This window comes from Homo sapiens, chromosome 8 (assembly GCF_000001405.40).
Source record: "Homo sapiens chromosome 8, GRCh38.p14 Primary Assembly".
NCBI classification, from domain to species: Eukaryota; Metazoa; Chordata; class Mammalia; order Primates; family Hominidae; genus Homo; species Homo sapiens.
This window is the reverse complement of record NC_000008.11, coordinates 134,605,056-134,625,176: the sequence shown is the minus strand read 5'-3', so window position 1 is coordinate 134,625,176 and position 20,121 is coordinate 134,605,056. Positions and strand designations below refer to the sequence as shown.

At 45.1% G+C, this 20,121-nt stretch overlaps 1 protein-coding gene across 14 annotated transcripts in view; it reads left to right on the top strand.

Annotated features, from left to right (window-relative positions):
- ZFAT (zinc finger and AT-hook domain containing) overlaps positions 1–20,121 on the top strand; it is a 354,552-nt gene that overhangs the window by 207,163 nt on the left and 127,268 nt on the right. For 13 of the 14 annotated variants that reach the window (NR_110323.2, XR_007060749.1, XR_007060750.1 and 10 more), the window contains 2 exons: positions 14,522–14,707; positions 16,298–16,448. Coding sequence is in view for 11 of the 14 variants with exons in the window: in XM_047422062.1 (XP_047278018.1) it covers positions 14,522–14,707; positions 16,298–16,448 (337 nt within the window). In the remaining 3 variants the exon portion in view is untranslated. The remainder of the gene's footprint in view (positions 1–14,521; positions 14,708–16,297; positions 16,449–20,121) is intronic. The other variant, NM_001174157.2, reaches the window with a different exon arrangement.

Below are 20,121 nucleotides of genomic sequence, written 5' to 3'. Positions count from 1 at the left end.
CCCTGTAGTAAGAGATATAGGAGGATGCGAGAAAGCCTAAGGGAAGAGGGCGAGGAAGAGCACATTCAGCAGGTTCGAATCAGTGTGGGTGTAATCAATAATTAAAACTGCTTTATTAGCAGTGTGGAGTGAATTGGTGGCAGAGTCCCAGAATATAATCCCTTATCAGTCTGCTGTTCTGACAACTGTTGTGGGCTTTTTATTAATGTGGCTGATAACACTTTACTCTCTGGGGCATTCTGAGATTTAATTAGTTCTTGGGCAATTTAGAATAGGTACTTTAGAATATTAGTGCAGTGTTAATTATAAATGAATGCATATGAACTAATTTCTACAAATGTGTGATTGCATTTACATTAAACTCTTTAGTTGCCTGCTTCCAATTCAACATACTTTGAATTACGAGTTACATGTGAGATACTCTGTTCTGTGGGGAATTCAAGGGTAAGAAATTCGGACGCAAATCCTGCACTAAGAGTGTAGGGCTGGAAAACAAAGCAGGACCCCTCCTATTTTTTTGAGACAGAGTTTTGCTCTTGTTGCCCAAACTGGAATGCAATGGTGCGACCTCGGCTCATTGCAACCTCCACCTCCTGGGTTCAAGCGATTCTCCTGCCTCAGCTTCCCGAGTAGCTGGGAATATAGGTGTGCGCCCCCATGCCCGGCTAATTTTTTGTATTTTTGGTAGAAGCAGGGTTTCACCATGTTAGCCACGCTGGTCTCAAACTCCTGACCTCAGGTGATCTGCTCGCCTTGGCCTCCCAAAGTGCTGGGATTACAGGTGTGAACCACCATGCCCGGCCACAGGACCCCTCCTAAAGAAGCACTTCTAGAAGAGGTGGGATGGTAAACAAAGAACAGGAAGATTTTGAGGTAAAAGGAACTTACTTGAGAGATTTTGTATCAAATGGGCTTTGTTTTTCTTAGTAAGGTGTGGGAAGCTCATCAGAGTTAAGGGTGTGTGTGTGTGTGTGTGTGTGTGTGTGTGTGTGTGTGCATGTGCACATGTGCCTGCACGTTAGGGGCTGAGAAGAATGGGAACTTTTTGAGCCCTCCTGTGGGTCATTCATGAGTGCATCAGAGGCACCGAGCGCCTACTCTTTGTGTACCAGGCATGGAGTGGTTGCTGACTACAGGATGTCGCATGAATGGAGGTCTGTATAGTAGTTTCTTAGAGTGTAGTGGGCTGGGCAGAAATGACTCTGACACTCTGAGATAAGTGTGGGGAACAGCTGGTGGGTGCTCCACAAGGTATTGGGAGAGCTTGTGGAAGGGGCTTCTCTAGCAGCCTGGAGAGCAGGTGAGGTGGGTGCTCTCTGGTGGCTCGCTGGGGCAGAGAGTTGAAGGCTACAGAGACGTCGAGCACTGAAGAGTGGGGCTGGGGGTAGAGGAGGGCAGGGAGAAGAGGGGAGGAGAGGAGGGGAGTACTACCCTTGCAAGAGGAAATAGCATTTGCTCAGACACAGAGGAGGCTGATGCAGTGATCCTGGGAAGTGTTCTGTGGCATCTGAATCCAGCAGTGGGAGTTGAAATAAGGGGACATATTGTGGAGATGTCAAGGAAGTGCAGTTCACAGGACCTGGCAGAGTTCGCAGAGGGGAGCTGCCTTGGTTTTGGCTGGGGACCAGGGTGAATGGTGGCATCCCTGCCAACCTTGAGAGCCCAGAGGAGATGCAGATTTGGAGGAAAAAGGGTGAGTTAGTTGTGGCCACACATTGATCTGGGGACTGCAGGATATCCAAGAGGGCATGCCGCCCCACGTGGAGTCTAGCATGAGGTCCTCAGTGGAGGAGGGGCATGAGTAGAGACTGGGTGGAAGCAGAAGGATAAACCACCAAGGGCAGCCTCCTGAGGCCCCCACAGGGGAGTGTCCAGGGATGGAGAGCAGGGAAGGCTACCTTGAAGGAGGAAGCGGATGGGTTGAGGATGATGAGTGATGCAGGGAGTTCAGTGAGAGGAAGCTGGGGTGAAGACTCCATTGATTGGGGGTGTGCCTCGTTGCTGACTTGAGCCGGAGCAGTATCAGTGGAAGGAGGTCAGTGGGAGATGCTTGTAGTGGGAGGGAATGAAAATGGGAATGGAGCGAGGAGTCATCCAGAGATGACTAAGAGGATGGCCTGGGGGAGCCATCAGGGTACCAACAGGAGGCAGGTGGCATGCTCAAATGTGTGACTAGAGAAGCTAAGGAAGAGACCCTTTGTAAAAGTATGTTCTGGTCTAGGTACAGCATCAAGTCATGGTGTACCTGTGGGACCGAGGGCAGCTGGGAAAAGCAGGGTAAACACACAAGAGGGGAGAGAAGTCACCAGAACACCGAGGGAGAGAGCTGTGGCCTTTGGTAGAGGATGAGGTCAGCCTGTGATAACCTGGCAGGGAGGGAGCCTGGAGAATAAATACTGCTCCCCATCCCCGACTTTCCCCATTTCCTTTCATCTCCTGCTGGTGCCTCCACTGGTCAAACCCAGTTGGAAGCCAGAGAGCAGTAGGGCCCATTGTGTGGTCCTTACTGGTCAGCCTTGGGAGCTGGGTGGAGAGGGGGGAGGGGCGACGTGGAAGGGCAAGCAGGACCTCACCAGAACTTCAGGGGACTCTGGATGCTTGCTTATTATCTGCCCTTAAAAGGGACACGCTCGGGTCTCTGTTCCTTAAGTAATGGTCCCCTCCAGTTTGCATCAGAACATCTCACTCCCTGCAGGGGCACTAGACCCTGTCGTCATAGAAAGGGCTTCAGCCCCGCGGGGCATGCACACCATTTGCCAACATCTGCTTCCCTCTTTAAGGTTTGCATTCCACGTTGTGCGATGTCATCACTTTTTCAAATGCTGTCTTTTCCAAAGGAAATGAAATATAAAGAAGTATGCTAATGTGCTAGGGTTGAAGAGCAGTGCTGCACAGTGAAAGTTACAGTTCTTGGAGCATCAGCACCTGGGGAAAACGCACAAAGCTAGGTGGTAGGGGGAGAAAGGGGCTCTGTCGCAGCTCATGATTAATACAAACCGAAAGAAACCAGAAAGAAGTCATCATCCCAACCTCAGGCCTGAGTAGGACTTTCATGTATATAATTGGGCGTGAAGTCGACAGACTGGCATGCAGCCAGTGTTTCCTGAAAGCCTACTGTGTGTGCTCACCATGTGAGAAGGTTCTGCATCTGTTCCCTCATGTGAACCTTACAGTGACTCATTCTGCAGATGCAGATAAGTTTAGAGTGTTCCAAATTCATCCAGCTGAAAGGCAGAGCCTGGATCTTAGCTGAGATGCCTTTAACTCCAAATCTTGTGTTTTTCATCATGCGTTCTCAAAACAGTGACTTTTTGTTAAAGCCGTATTTCACGTAGTACACTGTACCTCTTAATTCAGTAGTTTTAATGCTGTTTCCAGGGCTCTTCAGAGTTGCTTAGTGGCTGGGACTAGAAGAATACTGAGGACAGGTGTGGGAGGCTGGCAGGGAGCTCATTCACTTTAATCTGAGAGATTGTACTTTTTTTAGATTATTTATATTGAGATTGCCTAAAAAGCAGGAAAAAGCTCCTGCCAGTTAAAAAAATTTGAAAATTACCATCCCAGTATGCTGACAATGACAGCTGAATTCAGACAGTGGTGCTGCATGATGTAAAACTTGATGGACAAGGGGACTTCAGCTAAGGGCCTTGTTTTCTGGAAGAGCACATTTATAAGAGCCTTGGAAAAAAAGTGAACCCTTAAAAGACTGGTTAAAAACACATGCCATGTACATAATAGTAGAGATACAGGTGCTAGTTAATGCTCAAGACAGTGCTTTGTAAACTGTCATGTGCCACTCAGAAGATAAGGTATTGTTATTATAATAGTATTAATAGTATAGTTGATCTCCCTTCTGTGATATTGACTAAAGGGAAAATACTAGACAGGCATAGACTACTGTTAGAAATTTCCATTTACACCCACTGTTGCTGATGGAATTAATGCTGGCCTCCCTTCCTGTGATCTGGCTTACCCAGGGTAGGGCCATAAAGAGCTCACTGGGGTTTGATGTCATCTAGTGTGCTCTTCCTCTTAAGCATCTCAGACAGATTTCAGCTATTGATCTCACTAAAATTACATTCTGTTTTCTCTTGGCTAAAGAGTCTTTTCTAGAGCTCAGTGAAGATATTTTTAAACATTCAATACAATGAAAACAAAATACTACCTTAGAATTAACTGTGTAATTAGCACATGTACATGAAGAAGCAGGATATTTGAAGAGGGTTCATTTTGAAAATGGCATCTAGAGGACTTGGAGTTTGACCTGGGTCACCCCAGCAAGCCCAGAAACCCCTGGGGCTCCCTTCGGTGTCCTTATTTTCCACATTAGGATGTGTTTGTTAAAAGACATCTGCTTGTCAGCTGTTCTTTGTCAAGCACCCTGCCTAGGCCCAGGGACTCAACCGGGTTTTCTCTGAAACAAGTGTTAGTAAATTATCCAAAATTCCCCGTCAGCATCAGCTAGGGGGCTTGGATTTCAGCTGGGGGTCTTTGGCCCTGCGCTGTATCCTACCATCTCGGAAGAGTGACTTTTAGCAGCCGTGCTTATTACCAGAAGGTTCATTGTATCTCAGTGCAAGGGAGATAGGCATTTATTTGTTGAACAGAACTCTGGCTTTCTTCAATCCCCAAGAATTGCCTCTTCATAGCACAGAGAATCACTGCAGAGCTGGAAGAGCTGGGCACACCATTGACAAGCCAATAGGGGACTTTAAATGCCTGGGCCTGGATGCCAGGCCAGAGCAGCAGCCTGTTGCACCCGGGAGCCAACTGTGCAGTTGACTGTGCAGCGTGCCTTCTCGGGCTGGAGTGGGGCCGTTCATCTGCATGGAGTGATTAGGAGCAAATGGCCTCTTGCTGTGTATGGGCGCTTGGCTGAGGATGCACAGAGCAAATGCCAGCCTTACTTCGTCTACCTCAGCCTTTAGCACAGCTGGGCCCAAGCCCCTGCTCAGAGAGAGGTGGGTGAGAAGGAAAGGAGCAGTGTTTGCATGCTGTGGTGCCTGAGCTTCCTGTAAGCCTTTCACACCTCTGCCTGTGGTGAAAGCAAAAATGCCTTTTATTGAAACCACTTATAGTCCACTAGCCAGGCCCCTCTGTTCTCTCCAGCACCTTAACACAGTATTACACTTTGCCATTTGACTATCACCTCATCTCATTGTGGAGCCAGCTGTTCGGCTGGTTCCTCTCTGCACTCTTTCTAAACTTCTGCTCCTGCAGAGCATCAGAGGCAGGAGGGGTTGTGGGAAGCGCTCACCTTGCAGGCTGCTGGACTTCAATGTGATGCTGGGTGTACCACTCATGGAGACAGTGTCCAGGCTCAGTCACCTCTTCTCCTCACCGAGCTTCGGACTCCTTATCTTTATAAGGGGCTTGGGAGCAGTCCTGCCTCACCAGGATGGTGGAGACTGAGGGAGACCGTGGCATGTGCAGCGTCCTGAGTGGCTGCAAGAGGCCTTCCCTTGCTATTTGTTTAATGACTGGATGACTTTCCCACTGTGTGAGGTTGGAGGCCCTTCCTGTCTTTCCCCACTTTACTATCTATGATGTTTTGGGCACGGTGGAAGACTTCCAGTGAAATAGGCTAAATCCTGCCAGGCCTTACTGAACTTACATCCATCTAGGGGAGACAAACAAGAAATAAGTAAACAAATAGACAGGCAAGCCACTCACAATAACTGTCCTTATCAGTAGGGACTGTTTGTGTGAGATGTGTTTGTGAGATGTGTTTGTTAGATCAGACAGAGCTTAGGGCACTAGACCACAGTTGCTGGTGGTCCGCAACTGCAATGGGTGGACTTACGGTTTTTCAACTTTACTATGGTGTGAAAGTGACATGCATTTAGTAGAAACTGTACTTCGAATTAGAAATTTTGATCTTTTATTTTTGTTTCTATTTTTTATTACTATAAAATTTATATTATTATTATTATAAAATAGGCTTTGTGTGAAATGGTTTTGCCCAACTCTAGGCTAATGTAAGTGTTCTGAGCACATTTAAGATAGGATAGGCTAAGCTATGATATTTGGCAGGTTAGGTGTTTTAAGTGCATTTTTGACAATGATATTTTTGACTTAGGATGGGTTTATTGGAATGTAACTCATCATAAGTTGAGGAGCATCTGTATTTAACAACACAAACTTTTCCTACTTCCCAAAGGCCTGCACTCTACCAGACTCAGGTAAAATGATTACCTTCTAACGTGCTGTGTGGTTTAGTTATTTATTATGTTTTAAACTGATTGTCTCTTTCCTCACTAGCATGTAAACTCCAGAGGGCAGGGCTCTCTCTCTGTTTTGTACACTAAGGTATTACAAATGCTAGAACAGTGCTGACTACTCCATAAGTATCTGCTGAACAGACTGTGGCTAGTAAAGAGAAAATAAATGCTATAGTGTGTACATAATTTCCAAGTAATTATTTATTTCTTTTGTGCAGAAATGATATTTTGTTTGAATATGGACACTTAAGAAAATTTGAAAATAGGAAAGTGAGAAAGGAAAATCATCTCATAAAGAGAATATTTTATTTAGTAGTAGGGGATAATTGTTAAACTTTGTATTGGAGACAGAAATTCTGTTTTCAGAGGAGACACGCTTGGTATGAATATTTAACCAAATTGAGGAGGGGGTAACCAGCAAGCAGGCACAGAAACTGAAGAGGCAGACTTGAAATCAGACCCAACGTTGACCTGGCCCTCCCTAGTCACAAGCAGCCACTCTTTTTCAAATAAAAATGCACAGAGACTGGAAACCAGGGGTGTGACTCCCCGCCTCATTCTGCAGCAAACACCACACATACCAGGACAGCCTGGGGTAGGAAGCTGGCAGACACTCAGACAACCCCAGTGCTGCACCTCTCTTCTGTTGCCACGATTGCACAAGATGACGAATGGCTCTGGAGCAGGAGTATGGGTGTCGCAAAGTGTCCTTCTCTGTTCGTGTTTCCTGAAAACTCATAGCAATGAATTTGCTCATAGTAACTGTATTAGTCTGTTTTCACACTGCTGATAAAGACATTTTTCTTCCCGAGACTGGGAAGAAAAAGAGGTTCAATTGGACTTATAGTTCCACTTGGCTGGGGAGGCCTCAGAATCATGGCGGGAGGTGAAAGGCACTTCTTACATGGTGGTGGCAAGAGAAAAATGAGGAAGAAGCAAAAGCGGAAACCCCTGATGAACCCATCAGATCTCATGAGACTTATTCACTATCATGAGAATAGCACAAGAAAGGCCAGGCCCCATGATTCAGTTACCTCCCCCTGGGCCCCTCCCACAATTCGTGGGAATTCTGGGAGATACAATTCAAGTTGAGATTTGGATGGGGACACAGCCAAACTATGTCAGTAATCACGGTCGAGACTATCTGCAATTTAGTGAATCAAGCCTGTGGTTTACGGCAGCTCAGAGGGCTTTTGTGCATGTGCAAGGTGGGTTGGGCAGCGCAGCTTATTTCTAAGCAGGTCACCATACAAACTGTCTGTTTTGTAGTGGTGAAGTCTCTGTTCCCAGAGTGGTTCACAGGTAGTGTAGACAGCATTCCTTTGAGATGGTCGCGTGATAACTGCCTGATGATTGGAAATTGTGCAGAATGACCTTCTACCATCCCATCTGCCCCTAAAGGCTTGGGGTCCCTGAGTCTACATTAGAACCCAGACTTTCTGTCGTGGTTCTTAGTGTGTTGTCATATCATTGTCCAAGAAATATCTAATCTTAATTGTTGTTATTAATACTAGCTGGGACATTATGTTGTATATTTATTTAATTTGCATGGTAGAGGTGATAAAAGTCTTAAAAACAAAGCTGAATCTAAAACAAGATATTTTGGATTGAACAAACTGAAGCATTTCCAACATAGGAGGAGGGCTTTGTTCATTGGGAGAATGTGGAGGTAGGGGTTTTCTTGAGTGACTGTGCAGAGCCATAGTCCCTGCTCCAGGTGTGTGGGTGCATGGGACGCTCTCATGGCTGTCTAGAACCACCAGATGCTGAGAGCAGAGGTGGGAAGCTCTCCTCAAGATTGCCTCTGACGACTAACTTAATTTCATCTGGTTCTTAGGATTTCTAAATTTGGTGCCCATCAGGGTGGCTGCCAAGACAGGGGAATGAGAGTAGCTGTGGTGTGTGGTTGAGAGAGTCTTTGGGGTGGTGTCCCAGATATGTTTTCAAAAGGCAGAGAAGGCGAACATTGATGAGATATTTAATATGTGTCTGGGGTTTTCCCCGTAATTGTGTTCTTCCACCTTACAGCCATCTTTTGAGGTCCTTATTTATATTTTATTTTTTATGAGTGATTTTAGGGAGATTCATCAATTGTCCAGAGTTCCTTTGCAAGTGGTTAAGTTGTGTCCTAACCCAGCCTCTCTGACTCCGGAGTGCTGCATGCCCACTACCTCTCTGCAGTGGTTCCATTAACCAGCCCCTGTGCTGCTCAGGCCAGCTGGTTTGTAGCAAGCTCACGGCATGACTGAATGCAGCAGCCATGCGCAAGAGGGAGAAGCAAAACCCATCGACAGCTATGGAATTTTTAAAAGGAAGAAAGGAAGCTGGAGGGGAGCATAGACAGGAAAGAGTAGAAAAGTTGAAAAAGTCAGCAATTCAGAGGAAGCAGGAGACTATTGAAAAACACCTATTGAAAGGCCATGATACATGTGAACTGAAGATGGGACATGCCAAGCCCTCAGAAAAGCATCATCAGCATGACTTCTAGGTCGGGTCCTCGAGGCATTTCAGGGGACAAAACGCAACTTTGAAAAGTACAAAGGTGGGTCAAGTGAGGATATAGGGAAATTGGTGAGCAACCAGGTCAAATGGGAACGAGGACTTTGGTGTCCAAAAGGGAGTGGGCAGAAAATTACTAACAAGGCTGTTGTTAAAGTGTCTTTCTCTTTTACCCTGTACCCTCCTTGCTTTCCACGAAGAAGTATTGAGCATCTACGACACACCAGACCTAATGCTGGGGATGAGAAACACACAGTCATGTGGCTGTTGAGAGAGCTGGGTTCAGGGCTGTGAGGAGCATGGCTTGTACAGGAGTGCGGTGGAGAACCTGATATTTCTCTCCATGAAACACCTGCTTTTGTAGGCCAGAGTCTCTGGGTGGCGTCTGGGTCTCCATGCCAGTTCTTCTCCTGCCTCACCTCCCACCCCCCACATACTGGGTGTTTTACCTGGAGTTATTTGATACTCCCTAAATGCACCTGGCATTTGCCTCTGAGCGAGCATGCGTGTTCTTTTTTGTGGGAGCCTTGTTCTTTTCACAGTGCTCCAGGGCTCAAGGGATCAGTTAAGATCATCTCCAAGAACCATTTTCAAGGCTGTTCAGTGCGGTGCCTGGCACCATGGTGCCTGAATCGGTTGGAAAGTTTAGTGTTGAAGCTTCTGAAGCTTTCAAGAATAGAATGTAATGTCCGTGGACTGTGGATCCACGTTGCATGAGGCCACAGAGAATTGATGAAGGATGTGGGGGCTTGGAGGTGTGTATTTGGGGCAGTCTTGAGTGGGCAGAGTCTTAGCTTAGGTTCCCCACTGGAAGCAGCTTTGGCTGCAGGTAGTTTACCTGAGTGGTATTCCCAGGAAGCAGGAGTGGGGAGTGAGAAGAGTGAGACAGGGAAGGAGCAATGCCAAGGGCTTGTTAGTGGGGTCCCTGCTCTAGGTAGTGGGGATTTGACTCTCAAGATGTTGCCATGGGCCAGGCACAGTAGCTCACGCATGTAATCTTAGCACTTTGGGAGGCCGAGGTGCATGGATCACTTGCGGTCAGGAGTTTGAGACCAGTCTGGCTAACATGGCGAAACCCCGTCTCTACTAAAAAAATACAAAAATCAGCTGGATGGGATGGTGCGCACCTGTAATCCTAGCTACTTGGGAGGCTGAGGCACGAGAATCACTTGAACTCCGGAGGTGGAGGTTGCAGTCAGCCAAGATCGCACCACTCCAGCCATGGTGACTCCCAGAATTGTCTGCCTGGACAGTGTCCAGAGCACTGGTTCCACCTTAGCCGCTGCCAGAGTCACGTTTGGGCCATGGGATACAAGGAGAACCCCACTGTCCCTGGCTGAGGGGAGGACCAGAGCCTGCACTCAGCGCAGATTTGAGGCTGGTGTGGTCCAGTGGGTTGAAGGTGCGTGGTGTTCTGTCCCCTGCTCTTTTGTCTCTTCCAGGTTTTTCTTTTACTATCTCTCATATTTTTCACTCTTTCTCCTTCTTTTCTCCCTGCAACTTCCTTTCTCCTACCTTCTTCCTTATGTAATAGTTCCACCTATTTGTATGTGAGGGCCTTAGAATTTAGAGATTTAGACGTTGTTTGGTCTGACTTCCCATGTGGTTCAGAGTCTTTTCCATAGCATTTCCAATGGTATCTGTGACTTCCTGGAAAACCCTCCTCATAAACGTGTCTGAAAAACACCCTTTCCTTGGACAGCTCTAACTGTTGCAAGTTCCTTTCTCTGCTCTGAGATCTATTGCAGGAGACTCTACCCATTGGTCCTAGCTTCATCTTTTTGAACACAACAGAGCAGGTCTTCTTCATTGTCTGGCTCTAGCCCTCTGGAGGCCTACGTTAGGCTTCATAAAATCCCAAGAAGTCATGGACCCAACCTCCAAGAGGTCACAATATGGATAAGGCATGTCAACAGATAATTGTAAGCAGTGTGGGAAAGTCCAACCGTTGGTTCGGTGCTCTGTGTGTGTGTAAGGAGAATGGAGGAGGTAAGAAGGTGAAGGGTACAGAGTATCACAGAGGAGGGGAAATCTGAGCTGCCTTTTGGCTTGTCACTCAGACAAGCAGAGGTGTGTGGATCAGGACGTTGTGCAATGCATGTCTGTGTGCCAAGGTCCAGGGGCTGTAAACAGGACCGGGTGTCAGTCAACTTGTGGTTCAGCATTGTTGGAGCCCAAAGGGGTAGGAGATAAGTACATGAGGGTGTGTGCTTGCAAGTCATGGCCTTGATGGTACAGGGATAGTGGGAGAGGATTTATGGCAATTCTTGGAGGACTTTACCTAGCACTTTCTCCTAATGGAGATGGGAAGGAAGCCTGATGAAGGGTTTTAAGCAGGCAAGTGACAGGATTAGATTTGGATTTTTAAAACAGTTCCTCTAGGGTCTAGGTGGAGGAGGATGGTTCGGAGAGTGTGTTAGTCAAGATACTGTTAGCAGAGACACTGGTTAAAAACGAGTTTAACAATGAGAATGTTCTCTCGTGTAACAAGAAGTCCAGGCACAATGGTTCAAGGGCTGGTTCAGAGGCATATCTATGCCGTGGAAACCCCAGGATCCACCTCTCTCTTTGTGATGCCCAAGGCATTATCATGGTCTTTCACTTGGCCTCTCCTAGCTGCTGGGTGGATGCCTCAGTTCTGGCAGTGGACATAGCAATACCCAGCTGAGGAAGAGAGGCGGTACTTTTCTCATGAGGAAGGAAAACCACTTCTGGAAGTCCCTGGACCCTTCTCCTCAGAGCCCATTGGCCAGGCTTGGGTCCTGTAGCCCTAGCTGTTCAGACGGAGCAGCTTTCCAAGTTCCTGGAGTGGGAGGTGGCATCACACTCCAGGAGGGACGGGTATTGGGAACGGGTAGGGTGGATACCAACAATGCACACCCCAAAGCAGCCGTGGGGAAGGAAACTCAAATTGGAGCTGTAGGAATGGTGAGGGGAGAGATGAGATTCTTGTGCAGTCTTCTCTTCTCCACCAACGCCAGCTCAGGTCTCCATTGGCTTTTAAAACGGCATGGCGCCAGACCTTCACCCACGTCCAGCCCCCCGGTTCTGCAGTGTGTTCCTAACATACAATGCCTAAAGCAGAGTCCGGACGCGGTTTATCCAGACACAGTTTATCCGTTGCAGAGCGTGGTGATCTCTTCAGCTGCTTCTTATTAGTGTAGGTGAATGTCGTTTGGTTTTTGTTGATTCATGCTGTTAACCTGGGTTGAGCTTCTGGCAAGTTCTAATTCTCAGGTCTTTTTTTTAAATGTGAACAAATCTGTTCCTGGCATATCACCCACATATTGAATTGTATCCCATGGTGAATTCCGGTATAAAGCAAGGCATCATTTTAAAAGCAAAAAATTCTGTAAAATGTTGTTTCTACCTTTTTATAGCATCCAATATATTCTGCTATAGTTATTTATGCGTGTGTATCACCCAGTATGTAGGCCACAAAAAGAACTTCTGTGACTCAGACAATTTGTAGACCTTTTGAAATGTTTTTATTATAGGCACTAAAAAGTAAAATAAAATGAAAACTGCTGTTAGGCATGATGCAAATCAAGCCTACAAAATGTAGGCACTGCCAGTGACTTTGAGATCACTTGTTTTCCTCATTCTCCGGCTTTATAGGAGTCATCATGCTCTTCAAAGGAGGGACACGTCTGATGGTCTTGACTTTTTCCGTTTAGCCTTGGAGAGTGATGCAGTTCTGTCTGATTCATGATCTCATCTATTCGTTCTTTTTAGCTCAATGTTACCATATTTAGTGCTGATACTAGTTATATGATTAAGGACCTTTTCCAGTGAATGAAAGAACTTCTATAAAACTGTTTCACTAGGTCTAAAAATGGTCCAAGCACCTGGATTGTGGGACGAACACCAAAAAAACTTTATAGAACATAGAAAATTAGAATGTTTGTTTTGATCAATCTGCCATTAGCCGAGTTTTTTTCTTGCCTCTTGAGTGAGCTTTCCTCGAACCAGCCTGCCTCCCTAAGAAAGAATACTCCTCCATTTTATCTTTTCCCTTCAGGCATTCCTTGGTACAATTACTTGGGGTACTGGCTTTAGGCAGAGTTGAATCACTGGAAACAGACGGACCAAATGGACTCTGGCTATCTCCCTTTGGTTTCTCCTGTTCCTGCCATATTACTGCATGGTTCCGATCTCACCTCCCTATGACCCGACCTTGCAGCACTTTCTGGACCCCCACCTTGCGCTTGCGCACCCTGCTTCCCTTCATCCGTTTCCACACTCATGGCTGAGAAAGGCTTATGTGGAATTGTTCCCTGTGCATTTGTCATATGTTCTGAGGAAGTGAATTTTGGGCAGGTTATTTGAGGTTTTGTGGCTCTATTTCTAAGAAAGAGAAAACTCCTTTTCCTCCCTTCCCTATATTTCCTCCTCACTTAGGGATCTCAAATACTGTACATTCAAGAGATGGCTCTCAAATAGTGTGCATTCAAGAGGTGGCTCCTTTGTTCTTCACTTGGATATCGAAGCTTTTCTTACCCCTCAGGCTAATGCCAAGGGTAGCCATGTGGAATTAGCTGTTCTTTCTGTGGCTGACACGTTCCCTCTTCAGTGTATTTCAACATTTTTTGAACCCGTTGACTTTGCTGTCTGCAGCAGCGGCACAAATATAATCCAGCCCTTCCCGGCTTAGACACCTGTGGCTCTCCATGGCCTTCCAGAGGCAGCAGGCAGGCCCCAGGCATTGTTTCCCTTTGCTCTTCCATTGTTTTAAGAAATTTTAGACTAGAGTCAGCCTTGAAAAATCAGAAGATTTCATGTAAATCTCGATTTCCAGTCTCTCTGTGAGCCATCAGAAGACCCAGCAGGCTGGTCCTCTGTGGGAACTTGAGCCTCCTTTCCTTCCAGCTTCTCCCCCTCCCCAGGCCTGACTGGTCTCCATGTACATTGATGTTTCACCCCCGATTCCCCAAAGGAAGGTTCCAGTCTTCTCATGGCCATTCAGGGCCCTCTAGGGCCCAGCTCTGACGCCCTCCCCTGGTTTTATTTCTGTCTCCCTGCTTCCTATGGAGTTGTCACCACACGGGATACTTGGGCACTGGTTTATACTTAGGCTCTGCCATCTGTCCCTAGATTGGAACACCATTGTTTCCACCACACCCACTCCTCCTTTGCCCTATACCCCTTGCCTGTATTTCCTGACCATTGCTTCGCACATGCTTGCTTTTTATGTGAACCAAGGGTTTACCTCCCCACGAAGTGGAGAATCTACCATCCTTTCCTGTAACCATCTCAGACCCTTGCTCATTTCATTCGGTGTGCAGCAGACTGCCCTGGACTGCCTGTGCTGTTTGCATGTCTGCCTCTCCCCCTGCACGGTGGGGCCCTCAAGAGCAGGGTCTGTACCTTATCACTCCTTTTGTCCACCATGCCTGGCACCAGACAGTAGCTGATAAGTGTAAGTTGAATAAGTGAATGATTTATTTCTTAGAATATAAATCTTGGAGACCTTATCTTCTGTGCAGTGTTGTTTATTAATGATTCTGAAGTCTGCTAGGCCTCATGAAGACAAGACAAGACAAGAAACTATGTCTGCTTCACCCAACAGTGTACGCCCAGGGCCTAGGTGATGGCCTGTGGCGGGGAGCAGTGAACATGTACTGAATCGAGTGAAGCAGTGAAGAGCCACCGTGGTACCTACAGTGATTCCGTGGTCTGCGTGGCACTGCAGACCAAAGAGCTGTGTTTCCTTTACTGTCCCGTGAAAGAGTAGTGTTTACCCTCCAACTCTGCCACTGATATAAAAGGATACCTTATGCATCTTGGTATTTGCTCCTTAGGTAACGAGTCTGACCTTGAACTAGAAAAGAAGTGTAAGGAAGATGATCGGGAAAAAGCCTCGAAAAGACCACGGTCACAGAAAACAGAGAAAGTCCAGAAGATCTCAGGAAAGGAGGCCAGACAGCTTTCTGGGGCGAAGAAACCCATCATAAGTGTGGTTTTAACTGCACACGAAGCAATTCCAGGTGACTGCACCAAGCGGGAAAGGAAAAGGCAAGACCCTTGGCAAGTCTGTGCCAAGGGCAGCCTGATGTCACAGTCTGAGTCAGAACACAGAGCTGGTGCATTGGTGGGGCTCTCCATTTAATCACCCACTAATTTGAGAGGATGAGACTTACTTACTGCCCAGGTGTTGTGGTTAATGGATGGAGGAGAAGCTGTGAGGGCTGCTGTGAGGGCCGCTGCTCTTGCTGTAGTCCCACAGCTCCGCCGTGCTGCTCCTGCTGGAGTAGTGGTTCCGGGAGCAGTTAGTTTTCTTCGTCCCCTCACCCAGCTCTTCTCCTGGGTGTGTGCCTTCCCCTCCTGCTCTCAGCCATGCTGTCCTGCATGTGAGGCCAGCCCATTCAGCCAGACGCATGCAGGCTGCTGCTCCAAAACCCATGCTAACTCTGCCCACCATCTGTTTTGTATTTTTTTCCTCTCTGCACATAGAAAAGATGTAAACTGACATAGATACCCACTGTTTCCATCTCTCAAAGGTTAGAGTTCTATTCTCATTTTTCTTTTCTTTTAAGATCAAGACAGTGGGAAATGTCCTAAGGTGGTATCCTGGGGTGCCTCTGATCTTTTTTTGTATTTTTAGAAGGGTTCACCAAATATAATACTAGAAATTTCCATCTCTGTATTCTTTTACATGAAATAGCTGGTGGATATGTGACACTATATTTTTAAAAAAGATCTCTAGGATAGGACCCTTAATTTAAAAAGCAGTTTATAATAGTGTTTCAAAGTATAATATTTTTTCTCTATGCGCTTGAGGTGATTGCTGTCAAATAAAATTTAAAAATTAAGTTTAGGATTTTAAGGACAGCTACAGCCTTTTAAGTACCTATTTTCAATGCTAAGAGTAACTCATTATTTAAAATGAAAAATCTGAATAAATTCTCCTTCTGTACGTCACTGCAGACCAAGGTGATCGGTAGAGAACAGACCATATAAAATTGTGTGGCTAGAAGAACTTTCTGGAAAGTCACTTTGTCTGCCCTACTCACTTCAGAATAGTATTATTCTGGAAAATAAGAAGCCCAGAAGAGAATTTCCTATTTTCAATTGTTGCTAGAGAAAGTTTCTATGATTTTTCTAAAAATTAGTGGTAGTATTTTGATATTTCTTTAAGCAAGGGTGAAAAGTATAAATAATTCCTTTGCAATTCCAGAAACAAGGGGTAAATTGGATCTTTTTCTTTAATGCAGTTTGACACGGGTGATCCTATATAAAACCTTGCAAGTAACATATATATGTATATGTATATACATATATATGTATATGTGTGTGTGTGTATATGTGTACTTTTTAATATAAGTAGATCAAGTGAAAATATATCTCAAGAGGACATTTAGACAGATTATTGAAAAACTTGTCCTTTCTCAAACACATGCACACACTCACACACACTCACCCAAAAAATGTAAATGTGCGAGCTGAGTGAAAACTATCTTGCGTGGGTATCAGACAGTATAGAAATAGACTTCCCAGCACCATCCCCTCTGCTGCGATGGGGTCAGTGCCCACTTTCGATGCCTCTCAATAAGCAATGCCTTTTGCATCAATCTCAGGTGCTACCAAGATTGTGCCAGTGGAGGCTGGGCCCCCTGAAACAGGAGCTACAAATTCTGAGACCACTTCAGCAGACCTGGTGCCTCGGAGAGGCTACCAGGAATACGCCATTCAGCAGACACCTTATGAGCAACCAATGAAGTCAAGCAGGTAAAGTGTTTTGTTCTGTGTAACTTCAGCCAGAGGTTGCATGTGAGTGAACTCCACAGAGTGCAGGAAGGATCAGCATGCTTGTTCGTTTGGATTCTGCTTATAAACTTGTTTATAAGAGATACTGACTCCTTGATTCAGCAGTAGAATTACCCCTCCATGGCAGCCCTCGGTGTGCTCGCTGAGCCTCCAGTGTGTTGCAGAGTAGCATGTTTTTAGAACTGAGCACCAACTGGCTTAATGAAGCCAGAGCATTTTATTTAAAGAAAAACTATTTTTTACCTTAATAAAAAGAAATAGAAACATAGCTTAAGTAAAGTTTTAGACATTTATAGCTTCACTTACTACCGTTTAGAAAAATATTTATTTCCTTCCCACTTTCAAAAGTAACACAAGTGTGTTGCAGAAGGCTCACATGTCCCATATGATGTGGCATTAAAGTAACCTAGAGTTACTGTTTCTGGAGGTAGTTTAGTTCATGTGCTTCTACAAGTTTTTTGAAATATACTAACATATATTGGTTTAATTTTGTTGTTTTTTGCAAATACTAAATACCAAAAGTACTGTTTTCAACTTTTTTTTAAAAGCTTACTACACCTTGAAAGTCTTTCATTTTTAGTACACAGTTTAAAAAGCTGTGTTTGCTATTATGTGGATGTATTTTAGTTTATATAGCCAGTTTTTACTATTACGGACAATGCAGTGATTAATGTTTTGGTGTATACATCTTTCCATACTTCAAGACCTCCTGTGGAATCCATTGCTAGAGTTGAAATTGCTACAGCAAAGGATATGAGTGCCTAGTGCTTAACTGACATTAAAAACTGTCCTCCAGATACACTGGATCAGTTGACCACCCATAGCAAACCAGTGTGTTTCTCTACAGTCTCCCCAAATTGTCTGTCTTTAGCCTGTACCTGCTGAAGTCAGTTAACAAACTCTGATCCCCAGAGGTCTGAAAACATTTCTCCCAGCTAGAAGGAAAGACAAAGAAAATGCCAGTTGCCAGTGGTTTTCCTCTGTTTCTGGAAGAAGAGAAATGGGGTGTTTTTGAGTAGAACATAAGCTTCAGAATGAAATAGACCTAGGTTGGCTCTAGACTACTCTGTATGAGTTCAGCTCAACAAATTGAACACCTCTTATGTGCTGGGCACTGGTGATATGACAAAGAATCAGACAGTTGCAGCCCCTGCCCTGATGAAGCTTACACTCCATTGTAACTTGACACACGTTACTTTGCATCTAACATTTGTTGCACAATTTTAAGACTGTCTAATAGAATTTTAGTTTAGTAGTGAGAATAAGAGATAAAATATGCAAAGTGCCTGGCACATGTAGTGCTCTCATTAAATTATATTATTATATCATGTGGTATGCTTCATTAATTTGTAGCTTCAATCCTCTATTCTTGTAAATGTGAACAATTGAATTTATTGATGAAGTTGTAAAAATACTCATTCCTTTGGTGAATTCATAATAGAATTAAGTCTCTAAAATCATTCTGTGTTTCAAGTCAGGTTGATTTGTAGACCTTAATTAATTATCTTCACAATATTTCAAGGTCTGTTGGCGGGGAGGTTCAGCTAAATGTTAATCTAGTTACAGGTAAATACACTGAATATTTAATCAACAGATCTAGGCTATATTTTTGTTGTCATGCATTCTATTAATATTTTATTGTGCAAATTATAAGATAACTATAAAAGAGATGTTTTTGCGTAAGGATTTTACTTTGTAAAATACAGATAAAAACTTTTAGGTTATATAATTCTTCTCTCATAACAAATGATACAGAGTTATTATATAAAAAATTTTGGAAGTCCAGAAAACTGAGGGAAAAAAAGTCATTTATGATCTTATTGCCCAAAGATAACCACTTATTATTTTAAATGTGTTTTCTCCCAGCCTTTTTTTCAGCATGTGTATTTTATAAAATTGAGTTTATATTTTATAGCGATTTTGTATCTCACTTTTTAAAACTTTTTTTTTTTTTTTTTTTCTGAGACAGAGTCTCACTCTGTTACCCAGGCTGGAGTGCAGTGGCACAATCTTGGCTCACTGCAGCCTCTGCCTCCCAGGTTCAAGCTATTCTCTTGCCTATTCTCTTGCCTCAGCCTCCTGAGTAGCTGGGAATACAGGTGTGCACCACCACGGCCAGCTTTTTTTTTGGATTTTCAGTAGAGTTGGGGTTTCACTATGTTGGCCAGGCTGTTCTTGAACTCTTGACCTCAAGTTATCCACCAGCCTTGGCCTCCCAAAATGCTGGAATTACAGGCGTGAGCCACTGTGCCCGGCTGTCACTTTTTAAAACTTAATCACATTACATTTATATGCCTTTGTACTCAAATGAATCACAAACATTTTGCTTTATAGCAACAAGGCATAACTTCATGAGGATATAGTGTTATCAACTCAACTCTTGACATTGGAGCCAACAAGATCTTTTAAAAATGCTCATCTGATTGTTACCCTTTTAGGCTTTGTCTTGCTCTTAGGGGTGCAGGGGGCTTCCAAGACTAGCCCTGCCACCTCTGAGGCTTGTCCACCTGCTGTGGTTCCCCAGTACTCTTGCTGCTGCCATCTGTTCCAGCCATCTGGGCCTCTTTTCACTTCCTTAGTCTCTTATTGCAGGCACCGCTTCCTTTTCCTGGATGCCTTTCCTCCCTCTTGCTTAGTTAATGCTTATCTGTCCTTCAGCTTTCTGCTCAAATGTCTTGTCCTCAGGGAGGCCTTCCCTGTCCCTAGACCAAGTCAATCTACCCTGACTGGACTCTCAGAGTGTCCGGCCGTTATCCTTCTCACAGGGAGCCTGATGGTCCTTGTCTGCTTACTTTTATATTTAGTACGTAGGCTGGCCTATGGCACTTTCTGGAAGGTGAGCTCCAGAGGGCAGGGCTGTGCTTGTTTTCATTCCCTTTTGTATCCTGAGTACCTGGAACACTTTTTTAAGGGAATGAATAAGTGAAGAAAGATAAACGTGCAAACAAACTAGTTCCCTATGTTGGTACCTTCGAACAGCTTCCCATTCTTAACTATTGTGGAAAATGAGCCATGAGCACCATCATCTGAATTTTGTATTCTTTCTTTTGGATAAATTCCCATAAGTGGAATAACTGGATTAAGGAGTAGGACCTCTTAAAGTTCTGCTGGATTTCTTTCTTTTTTTTTTTTTTTTGAGATGGGGTCTGGCTCTGTGGCTCTGTCTCCCGGGCTGGAGTGCAGTGGCGCGATCTGGGCTCACTGCAAGCTCCACCCCCTGGGTTCACGCCATTCTCCCGCCTCAGCCTCCCGAGTAGCTGGGACTGCAGGCGCCCACCACCACACCCAGCTAATTTTTTGTATTTTTAGTAGAGACGGGGTTTCACCGTGTTAGCCAGGATGGTCTCGATCTCCTGACCTTGTGATCCGCCCTCCTCAGCCTCCCAAAGTGCTGGGATTACAGGCGTGAGCCACTGCGCCTGGCCGGATTCCTTTGTAAAAGCAGTGGTGAGAGTACCTCTCTGAGGAGGCAGCATTTGGAATAAAGTGACTTCATAGAACTCGCATGGACATCGAAGCTCTGGCATCAGTTCACTGTCACAGTCAATGACTTGGACTTAAGGGTCAGATGGAGGCTGTGTAGCATCCTCATCAGACTCACTATCCTCGAGGGGAACCTGGGCACTAAGGGCTT